The sequence below is a fragment of the Homo sapiens genome, chromosome 6 (assembly GCF_000001405.40).
Source record: "Homo sapiens chromosome 6, GRCh38.p14 Primary Assembly".
Classification (NCBI taxonomy): Eukaryota; Metazoa; Chordata; class Mammalia; order Primates; family Hominidae; genus Homo; species Homo sapiens.
The window spans coordinates 5,268,419-5,288,890 of record NC_000006.12 but is presented as its reverse complement, the minus strand read 5'-3'; the positions used below and the strand labels follow the sequence as shown (position 1 = coordinate 5,288,890).

At 40.2% G+C, this 20,472-nt stretch overlaps 1 protein-coding gene across 23 annotated transcripts in view, besides 3 other annotated features; it reads right to left on the bottom strand.

Annotated features, from left to right (window-relative positions):
- Positions 1–20,472, bottom strand: part of FARS2 (phenylalanyl-tRNA synthetase 2, mitochondrial) — a 521,650-nt gene that overhangs the window by 482,693 nt on the left and 18,485 nt on the right. For 3 of the 23 annotated variants that reach the window (XR_007059196.1, NM_001374877.1, NM_001374876.1), the window contains exon 2: positions 16,402–16,465. The exons of the other annotated variants lie outside the window; for them this stretch is intronic. The gene's annotated coding sequence lies outside the window, so the exon portion shown is untranslated. The remainder of the gene's footprint in view (positions 1–16,401; positions 16,466–20,472) is intronic. 23 annotated transcript variants of the gene reach the window in all.
- Positions 10,131–10,180: a silencer, noted in NCBI's record as "silent region_16876". NCBI's record gives its function as "represses an Ori minimal core promoter by ATAC-STARR-seq in GM12878 lymphoblastoid cells {active_cell/tissue: GM12878}" and the evidence as "EXISTENCE:reporter gene assay evidence [ECO:0000049][PMID:35858748]".
- Positions 10,436–10,505: an enhancer, noted in NCBI's record as "active region_23903". NCBI's record gives its function as "activates an Ori minimal core promoter by ATAC-STARR-seq in GM12878 lymphoblastoid cells {active_cell/tissue: GM12878}" and the evidence as "EXISTENCE:reporter gene assay evidence [ECO:0000049][PMID:35858748]".
- Positions 10,586–10,695: a silencer, noted in NCBI's record as "silent region_16875". NCBI's record gives its function as "represses an Ori minimal core promoter by ATAC-STARR-seq in GM12878 lymphoblastoid cells {active_cell/tissue: GM12878}" and the evidence as "EXISTENCE:reporter gene assay evidence [ECO:0000049][PMID:35858748]".

Below are 20,472 nucleotides of genomic sequence, written 5' to 3'. Positions count from 1 at the left end.
TTTTCATGATGGAGAAACCAGACTCAAAAACTGGGTTGCTTAAAATCAGAATCAATGAAGTGATGGCAAAGACTGAACAATAGCTGTTTCCTCTCACCTATGTCTTAAAAAGCCAGTGGAGAGGTATTTTTTCTAATTCTCTGTCTTTTAAGAGCATTTTCTTGAGCTCCATGAGAAGAATGGAAGCTGCATGAGAGCAGGGATTTTGTCCCCAGTCCGCACCTCCATATACTGCCAGCACCTACAACAGTGCCCAGCACGTACATATACTTGTTGAATGAATGGGAGAATCCAACCACATATATTCAAAACCACAGATCACGGCTGTGTTCTAGAACAGTTCTCATCAAACTCAGTAGCATTAGAAAGTATATTTGGTGATTCGTACAGTGCACAAGTGAGAAGAACAACCTGGACTTCACAATGAGGTATCAAACGAGGTGCTCCAGAAAGAAGTGATGATCCCAAGTGTTCTGATAGTGATTCCCTCTTGGAAAGCAGGAGGGATTGGTGTTTGGGAGAGGCTCAATGCTTATGTAATGTTCTTTTTTGACTAGGATGGTCAGGGTATTTGCTTTGTAATAATTTACTGAGGTTAAAAAAGAAGAAGAAGAAGAAGTCACTTCAAGCTATTGACTACAAACATCAAAAGAAGTAGACAGCAAGATCTCAGGGCAGATGGTTGGACAAAACATGAAAGATGATCACTGGACTCAGCACAGTGGGAAAGCAAGACCCAGAGGAGATCTTTGTCACCCAGTCCTGGCTGTGACGTTGCCAACGAGCAACATGGGAACAAACATGTTGGATGCAGTGACACTCCCTGGATAAATATGAGGAGGGCTCTGGGAACAAGGCAGCTGGGAGGAAGGAAGATGACAGAAGGGAGAGGAAAAGAGAAAATATTACAGGAGAACATGACAGATACCTGCACTACCTTAATAATAATCAGAGGCCTCTGTGACTGTTTTCCTCATCCCCAGCCTCTGTCTTCAGTAGAGTGAACAGCTTTAAATTTCCCAAGTGTGGCCACAAAGATGAGTCATCTCTTGAAAAAAACAACTGGAGCCACATGGGGCTGGAGTAATTTGAAGAAGAGCTCCGCATCTTAAGGAATTCCCCGTGTGTACTAACAGTGTTTTTCTGGAAGAGGGTGACATCCAACCATTCAAATAAACAGAGCTATTTCTGATACAGAATTTGTGGCATTCTATGAGGTCCTCCAAGGGAGCAGCATCGACAGAAAGTAGGCCAACTCTCTAAGATTCTTTCTGTGGGACGGGGAAGGGCTATGAGGTGGGAGAAAGCATGAAGGAACAGCAGCCCGAATGTCCCCTCATTGGGCTCGCACCAGGCCAGGGGCAGGCTAATTTCAGGGACACGGGAGAGCAAGAGGAAACAGGCAATGGAAAAATGGCCACTCTCAGTGCCAAAAAGAGAATCAGGATAAAAAGAGGAAACAGTGCGGCCGGGAAGGAACAGGCTGTGGGATGGGCTGAGGACACCTCCGTGAGCAGTTCTGAGCACTAGAACAGGATGATAACACGGACCACTCCACCATTTCTCTTCTCTCTTCCCCACTAGCACCACTGCCACCTCTGACACAAGGTCCACAGCAAATGTCTACAGCCCAGTTCCCCACAAACAGAGCTGAGAAGCCAAGTCAGGCAAAGGAATGCCTCGGGCTCAACATGCAAAATCAAATCTGAACACTATATCACACCCGGGAAATTTGCTTTGCTTTGGAAAGAATCAACACCAAAACCAAATTGAACTTGTCTGGCTCTTTACCTAAAGAGCTAACCAGGCTACCAGTAAAGCTGGAGCTAACAGGCAGCCCTCAACAGAGCCAAGCCACGGGGCAATGGCCATGCTCTGTGCTCCACAGGCGGCCAGGCCTGGGGCCACAAGTGCAGCGAGTCTTCCTGTATTAGGTCTGATGAGGTCAGGCTTTCTGCACTACGGGTTCAGAGGCGAACATGCCCCGGGAGGAGTTTCTCACTCTCAGAAAGATTCTGCAGTGGCACCAAAATTAACATGGAAATTATTTAACATATAGAAACTGTTCTCTCTCACACACATACACACATGCCAACATATGTGTTACATACATAATAATAAAGTATACATTATGCATGTTCTATATACATAATTATATGGTATTAATGTATTTGGTACCCATATCATACATGTATTTTATAAATCGCATTGAATATAATTATGTATATAATACACACACACTCATACACATATACGTAATTTATTTCTACATACAGAGTGATAGAGCATGGGTAGTAAAACACACTTTATATTCTGAATAGAAGTACAGATTGGTCAGGCACAGTGGCTCACACCTATGATCCTAGCAGTCTGGGAGACCGAGGCAGGCAAATCACTTCAGCCCAGGAGTTAACAGTCTGGGCAACATGTAGAAACCCCCTCTCTACAAATAACACAAAAATTAGCCGGGCATGGTGACATGCAACTGTAGTCCCAGCTACTTGGGAGGCTGAGGCAGGAGGATCACTTGAGCCCAGAAGGTCAAGGCTGAGGTGAGCCAAGATCACACCCCTGCACTCCAGCCTGGGTGACAAAGTGAGACTCTGTCTCCAAAAAAAAGTAAAAACTTAGTGCCCTTATGATAAGCACCACAGGATACTATAAGGAAACATGGACAGTCAGATTATAATTCTATCTAGGAACAAGGGGTCAGTGTTGACCCCACTGACAACAATCAATCCAATGTTCAATTTAGAGTGTACTAAATGCAAGCCTATGAATTAAAGTGTCTGGAAATCAAGTATTTAGAAGATGAGCGAAAAAGGTTACCTTTATCCTGGAGAAAGAGACATAAGAAGGGAACAGCTATCACATGTGAAATGTTATGATGCAAACAGAGGAAGTGTTCTAGGCAGGTGTATGAGACCGTGGGTGGGAAGGACAGAGCAAAGTGAAGAACCATATTCTCCACAGGTATGAACTTTCTTAACAATTGGGACAAACAACTGGAGAGAAGAAGCCCCGTGCAAAGAAGCAGCACCCAAGACTGAGGAATTCCAGGGAATGCCGCGAGGCCTCTCAGGAGTGCTGAGGGTGACTGCTAGCTGGGCTTCATGGCCCCTTACTACCCACAGAGATAACATCACTGAGACAGACACTGAAACTTGACCTAAATGGTTTGATTGACATTTCAAGAGATATGAACGCCTTCTCTACCTGCCCTAAAGCTGCTGATATGGAACTGCTAATGGAGAGATTTGAAAAGCAGTCTTGCCTGAAGAGAGAATGCACTTGCTGATGCAGCCTTACATTCAAGGAATAACTGCGAGCACCCACCATGTGCAAAGATGAGTCCCCCATGGTCCTCCGTGTCCTCCTACACGCTTTACGAGTCTCTCAAAAGTAGCTGAGAACAGCATTTTGCTCACAAAGGTATAATACACATTAAGAAAAATGTTCAGAGGACTTAAAATGTCTATTCTCCTCAAGAACCAAACCCCACTCTTCTCAGCACAGGCCTCATCCTCCGGCAGCTGGTGTTCCCCCATCAGTCTCTCTAGATCCTGCCTTCCTCCCCTTCTCCCTCTGGACTCCTCCTCCAGCTTATTGCTCCCCTCGGTCGCCTCCTGGACACTGCTCCCTTTGGCCTCTTCCGTCACTGCATCCGATGCTTCTCACCCTGACTGCTTCTGCACCTCAGACAGATCAGGCTCCTGTCAGCCTCTCCCTCTCCAACCTGTGGCCTTTTCTTTCTCGCTTCAAGTCTCTTGAAATCTGTATTTGTTGCCTGCCCCCTTTGCTGTCACTTTTTCTCCTTGCTACCTGGCTTCTTAGAGCCAGGCACATGGAAGGCACTCCACACATGCTGGAGCCAGGATCCTTAACAAAACGTTAGAGGTTGAGTGAGAAGCTGACTTGGGGTGGGGGTGACGACTGAGTTTGTTTCAGACACATTGAGTTCCAGGTGATGGCAGGCCATGCAGATGAACATGTTAAGCAATGCTTGAGAGAGGCCCATGCCAGTGATCACCGGAGTCGAAAGGCCACGGAGGGAGGCTCTGGGGAGAAGACAGAAGCGCTGAGAGGAGGAAGACCCACCAAGGACCACAGAGCTCAGCTCTTCACATCACAGAAGAGGAGGGAGAACATTTCAAGAAGGTGAAATGAGAACACTAGTCAGGGTGTGAAATGCCACAGATGAGTTGAAGGGGATGGAAGACAGTAAACAAGGTGAGGGAGTGTTAATGTAATCACCAGAAGGCGACTGGTGATCTCTGAAAAGTAGTTCCAGTGATAAATAACATATAAAACATAAGCACTATTTATGATCTATATGCAGAAATCTCAAATAAAATGTTAACAAACAGAACCCAGAAGCCATGGAAGAACACTGCACGACAGCCAGAGCAGGTGGTGGATTGCAGGCACACACCCCATAATTCAAGATAGGAAATCTATTTCTCTAACTTGTCCTACGATCGAAAGAGAAACAGCATACCATCAGCTCCCCAGACATTGGACCAAAGTTAAAATTCCCTCTTAAGACAAATAAACTTTTAATAAAATAGGAAGACTGTTGCCTTAATATATCCACCAAAACTCCAGAATAGTGATTTATGAGAAACCATCACCAGCACTCCATATAAGTCCAACCTCTGAATAGCAAAATGAGAATGAGCTAATGACAGAACGATCCCCCGAAATGAATTACAAATGCCTCTGAAAGCTGTAACAAGGTGCTCAATAGCATTCATGAGAGAAATGCAAATTGAAATGACAATTAGATAGTATTTTTAATGTGCAGTTTGGGAAAGATCAAATTGTTTGATAACACTATCAGTAAGGGTCTAAGAAAGAGGCATTGCTGGTAAAAACCTTTGTAGAAGATAATTTGACAATATCTATCAACATTTTAAATGCATATATCCTTTATTTCGGCAAGCAATAATTTAAACCTACATATATACCTGTTTGTATGTGTGCAAAATGATGCCTGAATGAGGATATTATATTCACTAAACAATTTGTAAAAGCTGAAGACAGGAAACAAATTTTTATTGATTGGGGACTGGCTAAGTAAATTAAGAATAAGGCACCTCTACATGTATTGATACATTTGATACAGGGTATCTGTGAGATATACTGTTAAAGGATAAAAACAAGAATAGTGTGAATGGTACCTGACACCTTTTAGAAATGCGATATAAATGTAGTTTATGCATATACATGCATATATAAGAAAATGTCTAAGACCAGGTAAGAGCTGAAGGACAGAGACAGGAGAGAAGCTGATTTTTCATCCTGTATGTATTTATGCCTTCTGATTTTTTTTTTTTTTTTTTGAAACAAAGTCTCGCTCTGTTGCCCAGGCTGGAGTGCAGTGGCGCAATCTCAGCTTACTGCAGCTTCCACCTCCTGGGTTCAAGCAATTCTCCTGCCTCAGCCTCCCGAGTAGCCAGGACTACAGATGCCCACCAAGACGCCTGGCTAATTTGTTTTTTTTTTTTTTTTTTTTTGAGACAGGAGTTTCACTTTTGTTGCACAGGCTGGAGTGAAATGGCACAATCTCAGCTCACTGCAACATCCACCTCCCAGGTTCAAGTGATTCTCCTATCTCAGCCTCCTGAGTAGCTGGGATTACAGGCGCATGCCAACATGCCCAGCTAATTTTTGTATTTTTAGTAGAGATGGGGTTTCTTCATATTGGTCAGGCTGGTCTCAAACTTCTGACCTTAGGTGATCTGCCTGTCTCAGCCTCCCAAAATGCTGGGATTACAGGTGTGGGCCACCATATCCTGCATTTTTTTTGAATTTTTAGTCGAGACAGGGTTTCACCATGTCAGCCAGTCTGGTCTTGAACTCCTGACCTCAAATGATCCACCTGCCTCAGCCTCCCAAACTGCTGGGATTACAGGTGTAAGCCACCGTGCCTGGCCCTTGAATGTTATACTATATGCATTGCAAGCCACTAGGCTTTATGGCCACTCTCTCCTTTATCCCTGCTGTTCAGCCAGCCTCTGTCTGGACAATATCTCTGCCATTTGGCCCTCCTTTCCACCCTCATCACAATGGACATAATGTAGAGACCCTCAGCATCTTCCTCCTGGAGAATTAAAACAGCCTTTAACCACTTTCCCTTTTAAATAACTTATCTTCTCTGATTGACGCTAGGCACCATTCCTGGACCCACCTTTCTAAAGCACCAGTTTATTAAGTTTCACAAAATCAGGGTTCCACTTAGCCTATCAAAGTGCTCCACACGGGCCCAAGCCCCTTTCTCTTCCAGGGACTAAATCGCACACTCCAGCTGATCAAAACTCGAACAGCTGCTCTTTTTTTCCCTACCACTAACCCTCAACTCCGGTGGCCTCCTTTATCAGGAATGCCCATGTCATGATTGTCTCCCTTCCCCATATGCACCGGCTAAAATGGCTCGTGGCCTTCAGCACCTACTGAAACCACCACCAACCTCAGGCGCTTCCCCTGGTGTCCGCCTGGGATGTGAATGCTCCCTCCCCTAAGCGCCATGGACCATGTGTTTCTTTTGCAACCCCTGAAATAGGCTGCCTCTCATGCCTGCTTGCTGCTGCTTCCTTCTAAGCAGCCACGGCAATGATAGGCTGCATGCCCTGCTCTGTTCCTCAGTCTCCTGAGCAGTGAGACTCCCTAGCAATACAGAGCAAGTCCTCTGGCAAGGTAACACTTTCCTTGAAATTCCAAAAATTCCTATTGCTCATTAAATGACTAAAAAGCCATCTGAATCCCTACATTTCAATGTACTTATTTTGCATGGTTGCACAGCATTCACAATGGCATTATACTGACAAGCTAGGAAGTATTAAAAATATTACATAACAGTTACTGATTCTTTTTGCCTTCTCAGTGCAGACTGGTAAAGTTTGGAGTATCAAGCACATACTCAAGACAGTCCATTTTACCACCTGTCACTTAAAAGTCATTTTCTAGAATTATTGTTTTCTTAAATGAGAGAAATGATCTGACTCCGGGTGAACACATAAGGTTAGTGATGGCTAGGAGCACTGACTAAATTGAATGGTTTCAGGTCCTCGAGAAGTGTCTACCATTTCCCAATACAAGGCAATTATGCATTTAGTTAGGATACAGTCACGTTAAAGGAGGTGATCCCTGTAGACACACAGAGAGATATCATTACTATATATTGGTTCGGACAATCACTGTGGACAACAATTTTAAAATATCATCAAATTCACAGAATAGTGGTTACCGGGGGCAGGGGGGGTGGGAGAATGGGGAGCTGCTGTTTAAGGAGTACAGAGTTTCAGTGTGGGATGATGAAGTTCTGAAAAATGGATGATGGTGGTGTTTTCCTCAAGCATGTGAATGTACTTAATGCCACTGAACTGCACACTTAAAAATGGCTAAAATGGTAAATTTCATGTTATATATATTTTACCACAATTTTAAAAATCCACCATGAAACATGACTTTTAAGCATTTTTTTGACACAGTAAAAACAAAACAACTACAGGTTCTTTTCATTTCTAATTTAAAGACGGAAATAAGACAAAATAAGTGAAAGAACAGCAGTTTATTTTAAACCTGATGCCTCTAATACATGAATTATTAAAGTTTATGCTATTAAATCTTTTTAAGTCTTACCTTCACTTGTAAAGTATTTATATATTATTAAGGCTTAATCTGCTAATTCTTCTTTCTTAAATCCCATGCTTTGTTTAAGAAGCTTTTAGACTCTATGACCAATACATGCTATGTAGTCATAAGACAACAGTTGCATAAATACTTGCTGACAACGGTTAGCCCTACAAAGGAAATTGTGGAAGACTCGAGTACAAAGTAAACCCAATCTTTACTCCCCAAAGTGTCATCCCTCAAACTAAAGTCCAGGATAGCTCCAGCCAATCTGACAGAATACAATTAAAATAATATAAATCAAAAATTAAAAATGGAAGGAAAATACAATGCCAATAGTAAATCATAAAATGTCACTAAAAACATAAGATCTTCTACCCCTACATACTTCTTAACTAAACCTTAAAATATACCTACAATATATTGAAAAATGAATTATACACAGTGTATAATTTACTGTAAACCTACATACTTTCTGAGGCTGCGAAGGCCTAACAACTCAAGTAGGAATCATTAGAAACCTAAAAATAGGACAGGAGACGTTATTTTTTGATTAAAAAAAAAAAGAATGGCTGGGGAAGGCCTATCTGAGGAAGTAAACTTTAAATCAAGATTAAAAAGATAAGCCATTCAAAAAGACAGTTTCCAGATAAAGAAACTGAAGTATCAAGGTAGTCAGATGGGAAAGGCTTAGTATGTTCTAGAAAATGATTTTAGTTTATTCTACAGCTGTCTCATTAAACTTGAAACACCAAGCAAAGCATTTAACTGACACCCAAATCTATTCCAATGGCGAAGTTAGACAACAGTCCATATATTATCCAAGGCAGTTCTCCTTCTCCCTCTAAATCACCTGCCTGTCATTTCGCATCTCTTGAAGCACCAACTTCTGAGTGGGCATGTACAGAAAGAGCAATTAATTTTGTTACTTCTTAGAAGAGAATAGGCTTAAATGAGTTTCTGAATTACTGTGAATTTTAACTAGCTGTGTTCTTCCATGCCACTATTCATATGAGTAATCAAGATATTTTCATCATAGGTTGAACAGTTTCCATTTAAGGGCATGCTATCATTATTTATGCCAAGGGCAAAAAATGCACATAGACTTCAAGCAGCAGTATCCAGGAAATGTAGCTGGCTGCCATGCAGCCACAGCACTGTCACTGCTCCACAGACAGCTCATAGATAGAGGACCAAAAACACCCCTAGCCTTCAAAAGACAGGACTAAGGGGAAACTAGGTGTTTTCAATGCCTTTGCCTAGTGTAACGGTTAGTCTTACGTCAACATGACTGGGCCTTGGGGTGCCCAGATATTTGGTTAAACATTATGTGGTGTGTCTATGAGCATGTTTCTGGATGAGATTAACACTTGAATCAGCAGACTTAAGTATAACGGATTGCCCTCTCCAATGTGGTGGTCCTCATCCAATTCACTGAGGTCCTGAATAGAAAAATGGCTGAGTAAGAAAGAATTCTCTCTTTGCCTGTCTTTCAAGCTGGGACACTGGCCTTCTCCTGCCTTTGAACTTGGACCTGGACTAGAACTTACACCATCCACTCTCCTGGTTCTCAGGTCTTCGGTACTGAACTGAAACTTATGCCATGTGCTCTCCTGGGTCTCCAGGTTGCCAACTACAGATCTCGTCTTCCTTATTTTATATATATATAAAATATATATATATACACACACACACACACACATTTATATTTTTTATTTTTTCTATATTTATTTATAGAGAGAAACTAGCCAAACGAATACACTCAGCAACTCACTCAACTCCATTTATATACACTTGTCATTCTGTTATCTTTCAATCTTCTCACTGCATTTTCAACTCAAGATTGCTTTCTTTTTTTCTTTTTCTTTTTCTTTTTTTTTTTTTGAGAGGGAGTCTTGCTCTGTCACCTAGGCTGGAGTGCAGTGGTGCAATCGGCTCACTGCAACCTCCGCCTCCCGGGTTCAAGTGATTCTCCTGCCTCAGCCTCCCGAGTAGCTGAGACTACAAGCTCATGCCACCATGCCCGGCTAATTTTTTGTATTTTTAGTAGAGACGGGGTTTCACCGTGTTAGCCAGGGTGTTCTCGATTTCCTGACCTCATGATCCGCCCGCCTAGGCCTCCCAAAATGCTGGGGTTACAGGCATCAGCCACTGTGCCCGGCCTCAAGATTTTCTAATCTCACATCCCTGGCTGTGTTCATCACAGCACACCATCCTCAGTTCAAGTTCTCTTTCAAAGACCTACACAAAGCATCTGCAAGACACATCACCAAGACCTCTGAACAGTATGGACAGTAGGGCCACAAGCAAGCGCTGAAGCCACCTGTCTTGTTGTGCACTCAAGGCCTCCTGAGGATGCCTGAAGACTCTATCCTCCTCTCTACTTAGTGGAAGCCAAACCATCTAGGCATTTCCTTTCTCTCTGCATTTCTTTCAGAGAGAGAAAACAGAACCTCTCTTGCTGGGAAGAGCTGAAGTGTATCACACGGGGTGGAGAGGGGGAAGGCTGCATCTCATACCCAATTAATTCAGAGTCAAATGTGGAAATCATGTGACTCATGTCAGGGTTTGATGGGTTTCTTTTTTAGCCTAATAAAGAAAAGACCATTGCTAACTAAACAGGAAAACCTAGTGAGGTTGAATAGTTATGGAGAATAATGTTAAAGAATGTATTTTAAATCTACACACATTAAAACATACATCAAGTATTTTACTAATAAAAATAAGGCTTCTTTCAAATAAAGTACGCCATTAACATCGTCATTTTTAGTAAAAAACTTTGTGTAAAAATCCCTTCGTTTTACCATATTTTGAAGAAACCATAATCTTCTGCTATTAAAACACCATGCAAGTTAAAAAAACAACCAACCAAAAACCAGCGTTCCTATTAGACCCCAGCACTCGTGGCAACAATACCAAGCTCTGTCTACACACCCTCCTTATTGCAGAAAACCAAAGCGCACTAATGAGAATATGTTCTGAATCTTTGCAATGTCCCTAGGGGTGAGGAGAGAATAGGTTATTTCAGTTCTGCTTTAGACTGAAGAAAGTAAAGGAGGAAAAGGTCATTTACTCACAGATCACACAAGCTAGGGTACAGCCAGAGCCGAACTCTCATCTTTCAGGGCTCTGTTCAGTCCTTCCCCATTTCAGGATCACACTGTGATAACTGAAAACGTCAACAGTCAGCTGCTTTATGTGAGATGATAATTTAGATTAATGACAGATGAAGTATACTTTAAGGAGAAAATATTGAAAAGATTAAGGTTCTAGTCCAAACGGAGCAGGATATAAGACATCAAACTCCTAAGTATCCACTCTGCTAACACTTCCCTCATTTATGAAGTCAGGATACCCAAAATGGACTGGGTACAGTGATATTCCTTAAAATGAGGGGTCGGGGGCAGTGAAAATGGACAACATGGTGTTAGGATTTTATTGCAAAACATTTTTGAATAATGCTGAGCAAGGAAAAAAAGCCAATGTTCTTGCATATTATCAATCATGATATATAAAGATTTAATAAAGAACCAAAAGTCCCCAAAATATCTTTCAAATCTTAAATGTATTCACTGTAAATCTGGTACTGCTGATAATATGCTATAACACAGAAACAGATTTTAGTTTTGAAATTGCCAGCACCCTTTATGCCCTACAGAGATGATACGATATATCGTCTCTTTACAAACAAATGTATCGAGTATTCAGAAGGTGGCATTCCTTAACTTTACCAAGTTTTACTGCATTTTCTTTGCAGCTGAACTTGTACTTTTCTGGTAAATAAAAAAAATGTGTATTATTGGAACTATTAAAAAAATGTATCTGCAACCACCCATTTGTAATTGATATCCATTTTCTTTTCCTCAAAAATGTAACTGAAAAATATAGTCATTCTAAAATCTCTTGGGTCAATTTAGTTTGTTTAAAAAACCAACCATTTTGCCATTCTAAGCTGCTACTTTATTTAATGTTTTGGTTTAAGTCTTTCAAGAAGTCAAATATCTACATGTGACAAGTAACAATTAATCTGGGAAAAGAAAAGAAAAAAAAAAAACAAAACTGTGAACCAGCCCCTGCTGACAAATGCAAAAGCTTTGTGTGACATGACGCTGCACTCGCTATCTGTGCCTTCATTCAGCTTCTTCTTCAGTCACCATTTGATCAATGAATGACAGAAAGGTAAGTTAATCACAGAGCAGCTTCTATTTGAATTAGGCTTAAACACCACAGGGAGAAAAAATTATTTCTCTTTACACCACAATGCACTGAGGCTGGCTCAGGAGATACTGAGCCTGCACTGAGGAGGAATAGGTGGATTTCACTTCAAGGTAAAACAATAACATGTGTTTGTTCCTCCTGTGCTGCCTGATTTATAGAGATGGGAAGAGACAGGCAGAGAGAAATCTTTGGGGTCAGCCAAGTCCTTGGGAGTGTCTGGACAGCCCAACATGCCCTCCTCCTGGATGCCCGGCTTAGTACAGCCAGCTAATCCTGCACAAAGAGATTCATCCCTGAAGCAGAGAACAACCCACAGTCCCAGTCTCCTACTGCCCAGGGAACCACATCAGTTTGGGGACCCAGAGTGATCCACACAATTGAAGAATCACACCTCTGGGCAGAAGGTGTTGAGGATGCAGCCATTCCGTAAAGAATAAAGGGAAAGTAAAGCTCTTTGATGAGCCTCCAATTCTTAGTTCCTGCAATTCACAAGGGTATGCAGATTAACATAGTCATCACAGATTATTGTTATCAAATAGAGTGACCATATGTCTCAGTATCCCCAAGACAGTTCATGTTTATGCCTGTCATGCCAGTATAATTATTTAATAGCACCCACTTTCACTGATCTCAAGTGTCCTGATGTAGGAAATAAATTATGTGATTATCTAAATGTTAAGTAATTTACCTAAAATGATGTGAAAAAACCTATGATACAGCTGTGAAATGAGACCAAATCGACAAAATCTTAGTCAAGTTTTCTCCCTTACTATCACATATATACAGCATTTACACTCATTTCAAAAATGCACAATAAATCTTCCCAGACACGGTAAAACTAATACCAACAATCTAGAATTACAGCATGCTGAAACTAAAAAATTTATTTTAAAGTACCTCCATTCTAAGTCAATAACTTGTGTCAATAATTCTTACAACTCCCCCATTGAGCCTACTTTTTCAGAAAGAAAATAGGGTTTCCAAATGCAATTTTAAATGATTGTGACTAGTAACAGAGCTAAAATGATAGTCATTTCCATGCTTCTAGTGCTATCCAAAAGCAGAAAATAAAAACATTCACTACTAGGGGCTCTTAACTTCAATATATAAAAATAGTGCCAGCAAAGCTTAAGATAATATAAAATTCTGGGAGAATATATCGTAACGCAAGAGATAAAGTATGCAAAATATGTATCACTCTTCTGAAGGAACTGACAGGATGTTTACTCAGATACTATGCTAAGTGACTATGCTACTCCCATTATATTTTCTATTGAGGCAAACAAAATTAAAGTCTAAAAGCCTAAAATCTAAACCTAAATCCTGGCCAGTAGGGAGCAATATAATCCAAACAAATGCAACAGAATCTGTGCTGTGGCTGAACACTTCATGTTACCTAATATTCTTGGTGGTGACAGGGCAGGAGGATGAAAGATGCAGAAATCTAAAAATTTCAGGCTTATATTCCTTCATTTCCTCATTTAACAAAGATTTACTGAGCACTTAGTAGGCACTATGCCTCTAGTGATGAACAAAATAGACATGGTCCCAGCCCTCACAGAATTCACATTCTGGTGGGAGAACTCAACATTAAACCAGGAACCTTCTATTATGTAGATCTACTTTGTACAATTTTAAATTATAAAAAGTTAAGGTAAAGAACAAGATGTCATAAGAAATAATGATAAAATCAGAAGGGTGTAATTTAAACTGAGGTTGGGAACATTCCCTGAAGAAGTAACATTTAAGCTGAGTAGTCATGACTGGAGTGAAGAGTATAAGAAAATATTGATTATTCAAGAGAAGGACCCTCATATACCAATGTCCTTCAGTGCAAAAAAGCTTGGCCTTGTGTACATGTAACAAATGCATCTGTTTAAGAAGAAAAAGAAAGAAAATATCCCAGTGATTCGCAACCAGCAAAAACAAATAACTTAAATTGACAAATATAATAAATTCCAAATAAAGACTTTTGGCAAGGCTGAAGCGGGGAAGTTCTATTTTATTTTTGGCACTATATTGAAATATGTAGGGCCAGGCTCACACCTGTAATCCCAACACTTTGGGAGGCCGAGGCAGGAGGACTGCTTGAAGCCAGAAGTTTAAAACTAGCCTGGGCAACAGAGCAAAACCCCATTTCTACCAAAAACAAATTTGTTTTAATTAGCTGGGTGAGGTGGCATGCACCTGTAGTCCCAGCTACTTGGGAGGCTGATGCAGAAGGATTGCTTGAGCCCGGAAGTTGGAGGCTGCAGTGAGCCATGACTGTGCCACTGCACTCCAGCTGGGGTGACAGAGCAAGACCCTGTCTCAAAAAAAAAAGACATGGTGAGCTGCATAAAACAGAAAGACTAAATAATCGTGGCTGAAAACAGAAAGACATTAGTTGTTAACAAAACACGAAGTCTAGACGCATCCAGTTCCAGGGTTCATTTCATGGCTCAGAAAAGCCAATGTTTAGGCTGGAATCTCATATTCTCTTGGCCTTTCCTTCATGTGTGTCTGCTGAGCTTCAAGCTTTAGTATTACTTGCATTCCAAGCAGGGGAGAAGATGACACAAGTAAGCCCTCTTGTGCAAATACTTATCTTTTAATAGAAAACAAAATCTTTCCTAGAAACCTTCCAGACAACTTCCTGTTGTCTCATTAACCAGATCTGTGTCTTGTGGCTATGCCTGGCTATGACAAACAAGTATCTGGTAAAGAGGGAATGCAATCACTATGAAGCCTAAGACCGCATTACAATTCATTTCCAGGAACTAGGCACATGGCCACCCAAACAAAATCAGGGTTCTAATGGCCGGGAAGAAGTACGGTTGATATGGCTGATGGGTAGCCAACTAATACTATCTGCCAAAGTCACTCAATAATTTTTACAGGTAAGTTACAGTAGCTCCTCTTTGTCTACGGAGGTTCCAAGACCTGCAGTTGATGCCTGAAACTGTGGAGCGTACGAAACCCTAAGTACTGTTTACTATGTTTTTTCCTGTACGTGAATATCTATGATAAAGTTTAATTTATAAATTAGGTAGAGTAAGAGATTTAACAACAATAACTAATAATAAAATAGAGAACCAGATATAAATCAATACATTTACAGTCAATTTATTTTCCACAAAGGTGTTGAGAACATACAATGGGGAAAAAAAACACTCTTCAATAAATGATGCTAAGTTCCTATCTCTCACCATATACAAAAATCAAATAAAAGTAGATTAAAGATTTAAATCTAAGACCTGAAACTATGAAACTACTACAAGAATACATTGGGGAAACAACCCAGGATATTGGTCTGGGCAAAGATTTTTTGTGAAGACCTCAAAAGTACAGGCCACCAAAGCAAAAAGAGAAAAATTAGATTACATCAAGCAAAAACGCTTCTGTAAGCAAAGGAAACAATCAACAAAGTGAAAACACAACCCAGAATCTCCCACAGAATAGGAAAAAGTATTTGCAAACCATCCACCTGGCAAGGGATTAATAACCAGAATATATAATGAGCACAAACAACTCAATAAAAAAAAAACACAATCTGATTAAAAATTGGGCCAAAGATCTCAATAGACATTTCTGAAATGAAGACATACAAATGGCCAGTAGATACATGAAAAATGCTCAACATCACTAATCATCAGAGAAATGCAAATCAAAACCACAATGAGATGTCATCTAACCCCAGTTAAAATGGCTTTTATCAAAAAGGGAATAAAAGATGCCGGCACAGATGTGGAGAAAGGGGAACCCCTGTAAACTGTTGGTGGAAATATAAGTTAGTATAGCCAATATGGAAAACTGTGTGGAGGTTCCTCAAAAAACTAAAAATAGAACTACCATATGTCCAGCAATTCCACTGCTGGGAATATATCCAAAAGAAAAGAAATCAGTATTATCAAAAAGATATGTGCATTGTAATCAGCACTCCCATGTTTATTGCAGCACTATTCACAAAAGCCAAAATATGGAATCAATGTTAAGTGTACATCAAGGGATGAAAGGACAAAGAAAATGTGGCATAAAAAGACAACAGAGCATTATTCAGCTATAGAAAAGAATGAAGTTCTGCCATTTGCAGCAACATGAATGGAACTGGACATTATGTTAAGTGAAATAAGCCAAGCACAGAAAGACAAATACCATATGTTCTTACTCGTATGTCGGAGCTAAAAAAGTGAATCTCATGGAAAGAGAGAATAGACTGGTGGTGACCAGAGGCCAAGAAGGGTACAGGGCAGGAGGGATGCAGAGACATTGACTAGCAAGTAAAAATACAGCTTGATAGAAGAGATAAGACTTAGTGTCTGATGGATCACCGGGAGACTATAGATTATAATAATCTATCGCATATTTCAAAATAGCTAGAAGAAAACAATTTGAATGTTTCTAGCATAAAGACAAATATTTAAGGTGATAGATATCACAATTACACTAATTTGATCTTTATAAATTATATGAATGTATTAAAGTATCACATGTACCCCAAAAATATGTACATCTATTATGTATCAATAAAAATAAATAAATAAAAGAATCTGAGACAAGAAAAATACAAACCATTATAATCATAGTTTTTCTGCCTGTTCTCTGATTGCATTTCCTCCTTGATTTGATAATGCAACTGTTCGTGATATCATTTCCGCATAAGATAGTGGTTATTATTATTTTTTGGAAAGAAAAAAGAAAAACCCATCATTAATTCAACAAGAAAAACTAATAAAAAGTAGAACAATTATAACAATATACCTACCGTAATAAAAGTTATGAAAAAGAGAAAGAATATGGTCTCTTCTCTCTCTCAAAGTACCTCATCCCACTGCACTCACCCTGTTTCTTCTTGTCATCTATCCATAACGAAAATCGTGATCTTGTGGTAACTGAGAAGGCAACGAAGTGACTAATGGGCAGGTAGCGTGTATGCAGCATGGAGACACTGGACAAAGGGAGGATTCATGCCCTGGGCAGGTTTCAACACAAAACTCAGAACACACCCATTTAAAACATGCATTATTTCTGGAATTCTCCATTACATATTTTCAGAACATAGTTGACTCTGGGTAACTAAGAAAGCAAAACCATGGGTAAGGGTGGTGGCGGCAGGGGGTCCTTACTGTATTTGGAGCTTACGTGATTGAGTCATTACACTATTAATATTTATCGATCATTTACTATATGCAAAGCTAGATGTAAAATGTTGAAGAAACAATAGTAATCAAAAACAGACTTGGGAGGCCGAGGTGGGCACATTACAAGGTCAGGAGTTCAAGACCAGCCTGGCCAATATAGTGAAACCCCATCTCTACTAAAAATATAAAAATTAGCCGGGCGTGGTGGCGGGCGACTGTAGTCCCAGCTACTCGGGAGGCTGAGGTAGAAGAATCGCTTGAACCCCGGAGGCGGAGGTTGCAGTGAGCCAAGATCGTGCCACTGCACTCCAGCCTGGGTGACAGAGCGAGACTCCGCCTCAAAAAAAAAAAAAAAAAAAACAGACATAGTCTCTGTTCTTATACACAGCCTAATATCACAAAAAAATTAATCAAATAAAAAAATATAACTCTGGCAAGATTGCTCTAGTGAACTTTGTTCCTTTTACAAAAAATAATTCCCCTTTATCTCTAGGAGCTAGGCAACTGGTTCAAGACCAAAAGAATCCTATCTTCTCCCTGGTCACAGTTATTGGTTCAGAAATGGATGAGGACATGACACAAGGAGGGCCAGTGACATGAACGGAGAGGACTGCTGAGCACTCTTGGTCCAGAAGCTCTCTCACTCCTCTAAGGTTTTGGAAACAAGCGCCCCCAAACTGTTGATGGTTTCCCATAACCGAGAGAGAGGACTCTGGCCAGACGATAAAATTTACGTTAGAGAAGACAAAGTAGAGAAAAGCACAAAATTGAATCTTTGGCAACATCACTCAAACCAATCAACCCTAAAGCCCATCTGGCTTCTGAACCCTCAAGACACAGGAGACAATAAAGCCACTAGGTTTGTTTAAAACAATTTGACTTCAGTTACTTGCAATGGCAGTCACTCTAAGCTGAAGAGCAATTCACCATACTAAGGGAGCTTAACAGAGGAAGATGTACTCAAGTTAGAGAAGGTAGCTTTGAGTAAGCATCTCTTAAACTGAGATCAGAAGAATAATTAGCAAGGGAAGGAAGGGCACTCCAGGCAGCTGGATCAGCATTTGCAAAGGTCCCCAGGGTAGAGGGGAAAGAGGTGAGTACTAAAGAATGAAAAGCAGCAAGCGAAAAATAAAAAGGTATGACATGGGACTGGAGAAGTGGGTAAGCGCCATAGTCGTCAGGGTCTCATAGGCTGTGTTAAGGAATTAGACTTCATCCTAAAAGTGCTGCAGGTTTTTGGAGAGAAGGTGATATAAAAATTACTGTCTATAGTGTGGTGACATTAATTCATATATATCTAAGGAACATACCTGACCACCAGTACTATAATGAACATTTCATTTTCAAATAGCTTTCAAGACAACAGAAAAATTTCAGCAAACACTGTAACTTGACACACGTGGAATCTCTTCTACAAAGTTAACAGAAGGGCATCCAGACAGCTTGACAGCTCTAGCGAACCACACTTATGTCCTGAAACGTATTAATCTGGGATAGTTTACTTGGAAATTATTTGAAGACCTGGGCTCTACAAATGAAAGCTGACTGTAATTATCATCCAGCCCAGCTCTCACAGTACGCAGAAGCCAAGGGTGTAAGTGGGATTCCTAACAGGGCTTAATGTTATGAATGCCCAGGCACATGTGCTTGTCTCAAAGTGCTCCAAGACTTGAAATAAATAACAATGTGCTTATCTCAGAACGTCAAGAAACAGGAAAGAAAGTATGCTGCCTGCTAAGCTTTTTCTATTTCATGACTGCTTCATTTTACTTTCCCTTTGCACTGCAGAATTCCAGGAATTGATTTAAAAAAAGATAATTCTCCCAAAAAACTCATCTTCATTAACTGAAACTAACTGTTTTACTCTCTGCCAATATTACTGTAATCCATTTCACAGAAGCCAGGCTTTTATAACTCTTAAATATTGTTAGTTAACTCAAACTCACAATTACACATACAGATTACAAGTTTGCCAGGCTGAAGTGCTTCAATTGTGCTCAGAAAATAAATGTTTACATTAAAACGTTATAAAATATTAAATCATGTAATTCACTATAATACCAAAGAAATCATGAATTCTCTGTATATCTTCTATTGTTAATAACAGTCTACAGTATACTATCAACGATATGTATCGACCCATCCTCTGAGAGATCAGTTAACATCACAGATCTCAGTATTGCACATCTTAAGACACTGACCTAGTATTTTTCCAGTGATTAGCAAAATGTAGGCTGTTTTTTGTAAACAGACTCAACACTGCAAATTCTAAATGTTTTCTGTAAACAACCTACTGACCTGAACAAACAAGAGATGGCGGCTAATACACTCATTCGAAGAAGTCAATCAGAACTTCAAATATGTCACTAGAAAAATTACTAAAATGAGATACTGCTAAACAGCAATGAAAGGACTCTTCTTTTCTCTTTTTTTTTTTTTGGTTATTTTCATTTTTTTTTTTATTATACTTTAAGTTCTAGGGTACATGTGCACAAGGTGCAGGTTTGTTACATATGTACACATGTGCCATGCTGGCATTAGGTATATCTCCTAATGCTATCCCTCCCCCCTCCCCCAACCCCACCACAGGCCCCGGTGTGCGATGTTCCCCATCCTGTGTCCAAGTGTTCTCGTTGTTCAATTCCCACCTATGAGTGAGAACATGCGGTGTTTGGTTTTCTGTCCTTGCGATAGTTTGCTCAGAATGATGGTTTCCAGCTTCATCCATGTCCCTACAAAGGGCATGAACTCATCCGTTTTTATGGCTGCATAGTATTCCATGGTGTATATGTGCCACATTTTCTTAATCCAGTCTATCATTGATGGACATTTGGGTTGGTTCCAAGTCTTTGCTATTGTGAACAGTGCTGCAATAAACACATGTGTGCATGTGTCTTTACAGAGCATAATTTATAATCCTTTGGGTATATACCCAGTAATGAGATTGCCGGGTGAAATGGTATTTCTAGTTCTAATACCTAGGAATCCAACCTACAAGGGATGTGAAGGACCTCTTCAAGGAGAACTACAAACCACTGCTCAATGAAATAAAAGAGGACACAAACAAATGGAAGAACATTCCATGCTCATGGATAGGAAGAATCAATATCGTGAAAATGGCCATACTGCCCAAGGTAATTTATAGATTCAGTGCCATCCCCATCAAGCTACCAATGACTTTCTTCACAGAATTGGAAAAAACTACTTTAAAGTTCATATGACCCAAAAAAGAGCCCGCATTGCCAAGTCAATCCTAAGCAAAAAGAACAAAGCTAGAGGCATCACGCTACCTGACTTCAAACTATACTACCAGGCTACAATAACCAAAACAGCATGGTACTGTTACCAAAACAGAGATATAGATCAACGGAACAGAACAGAGCCCTCAGAAATAATACCACACATCTACAACCATCTGATCTTTAACAAACCTGACAAAAATAAGAAATGGGGAAAGGATTCCCTATTTAATAAATGGTGCTGGGAAAACTGGCTAGCCATA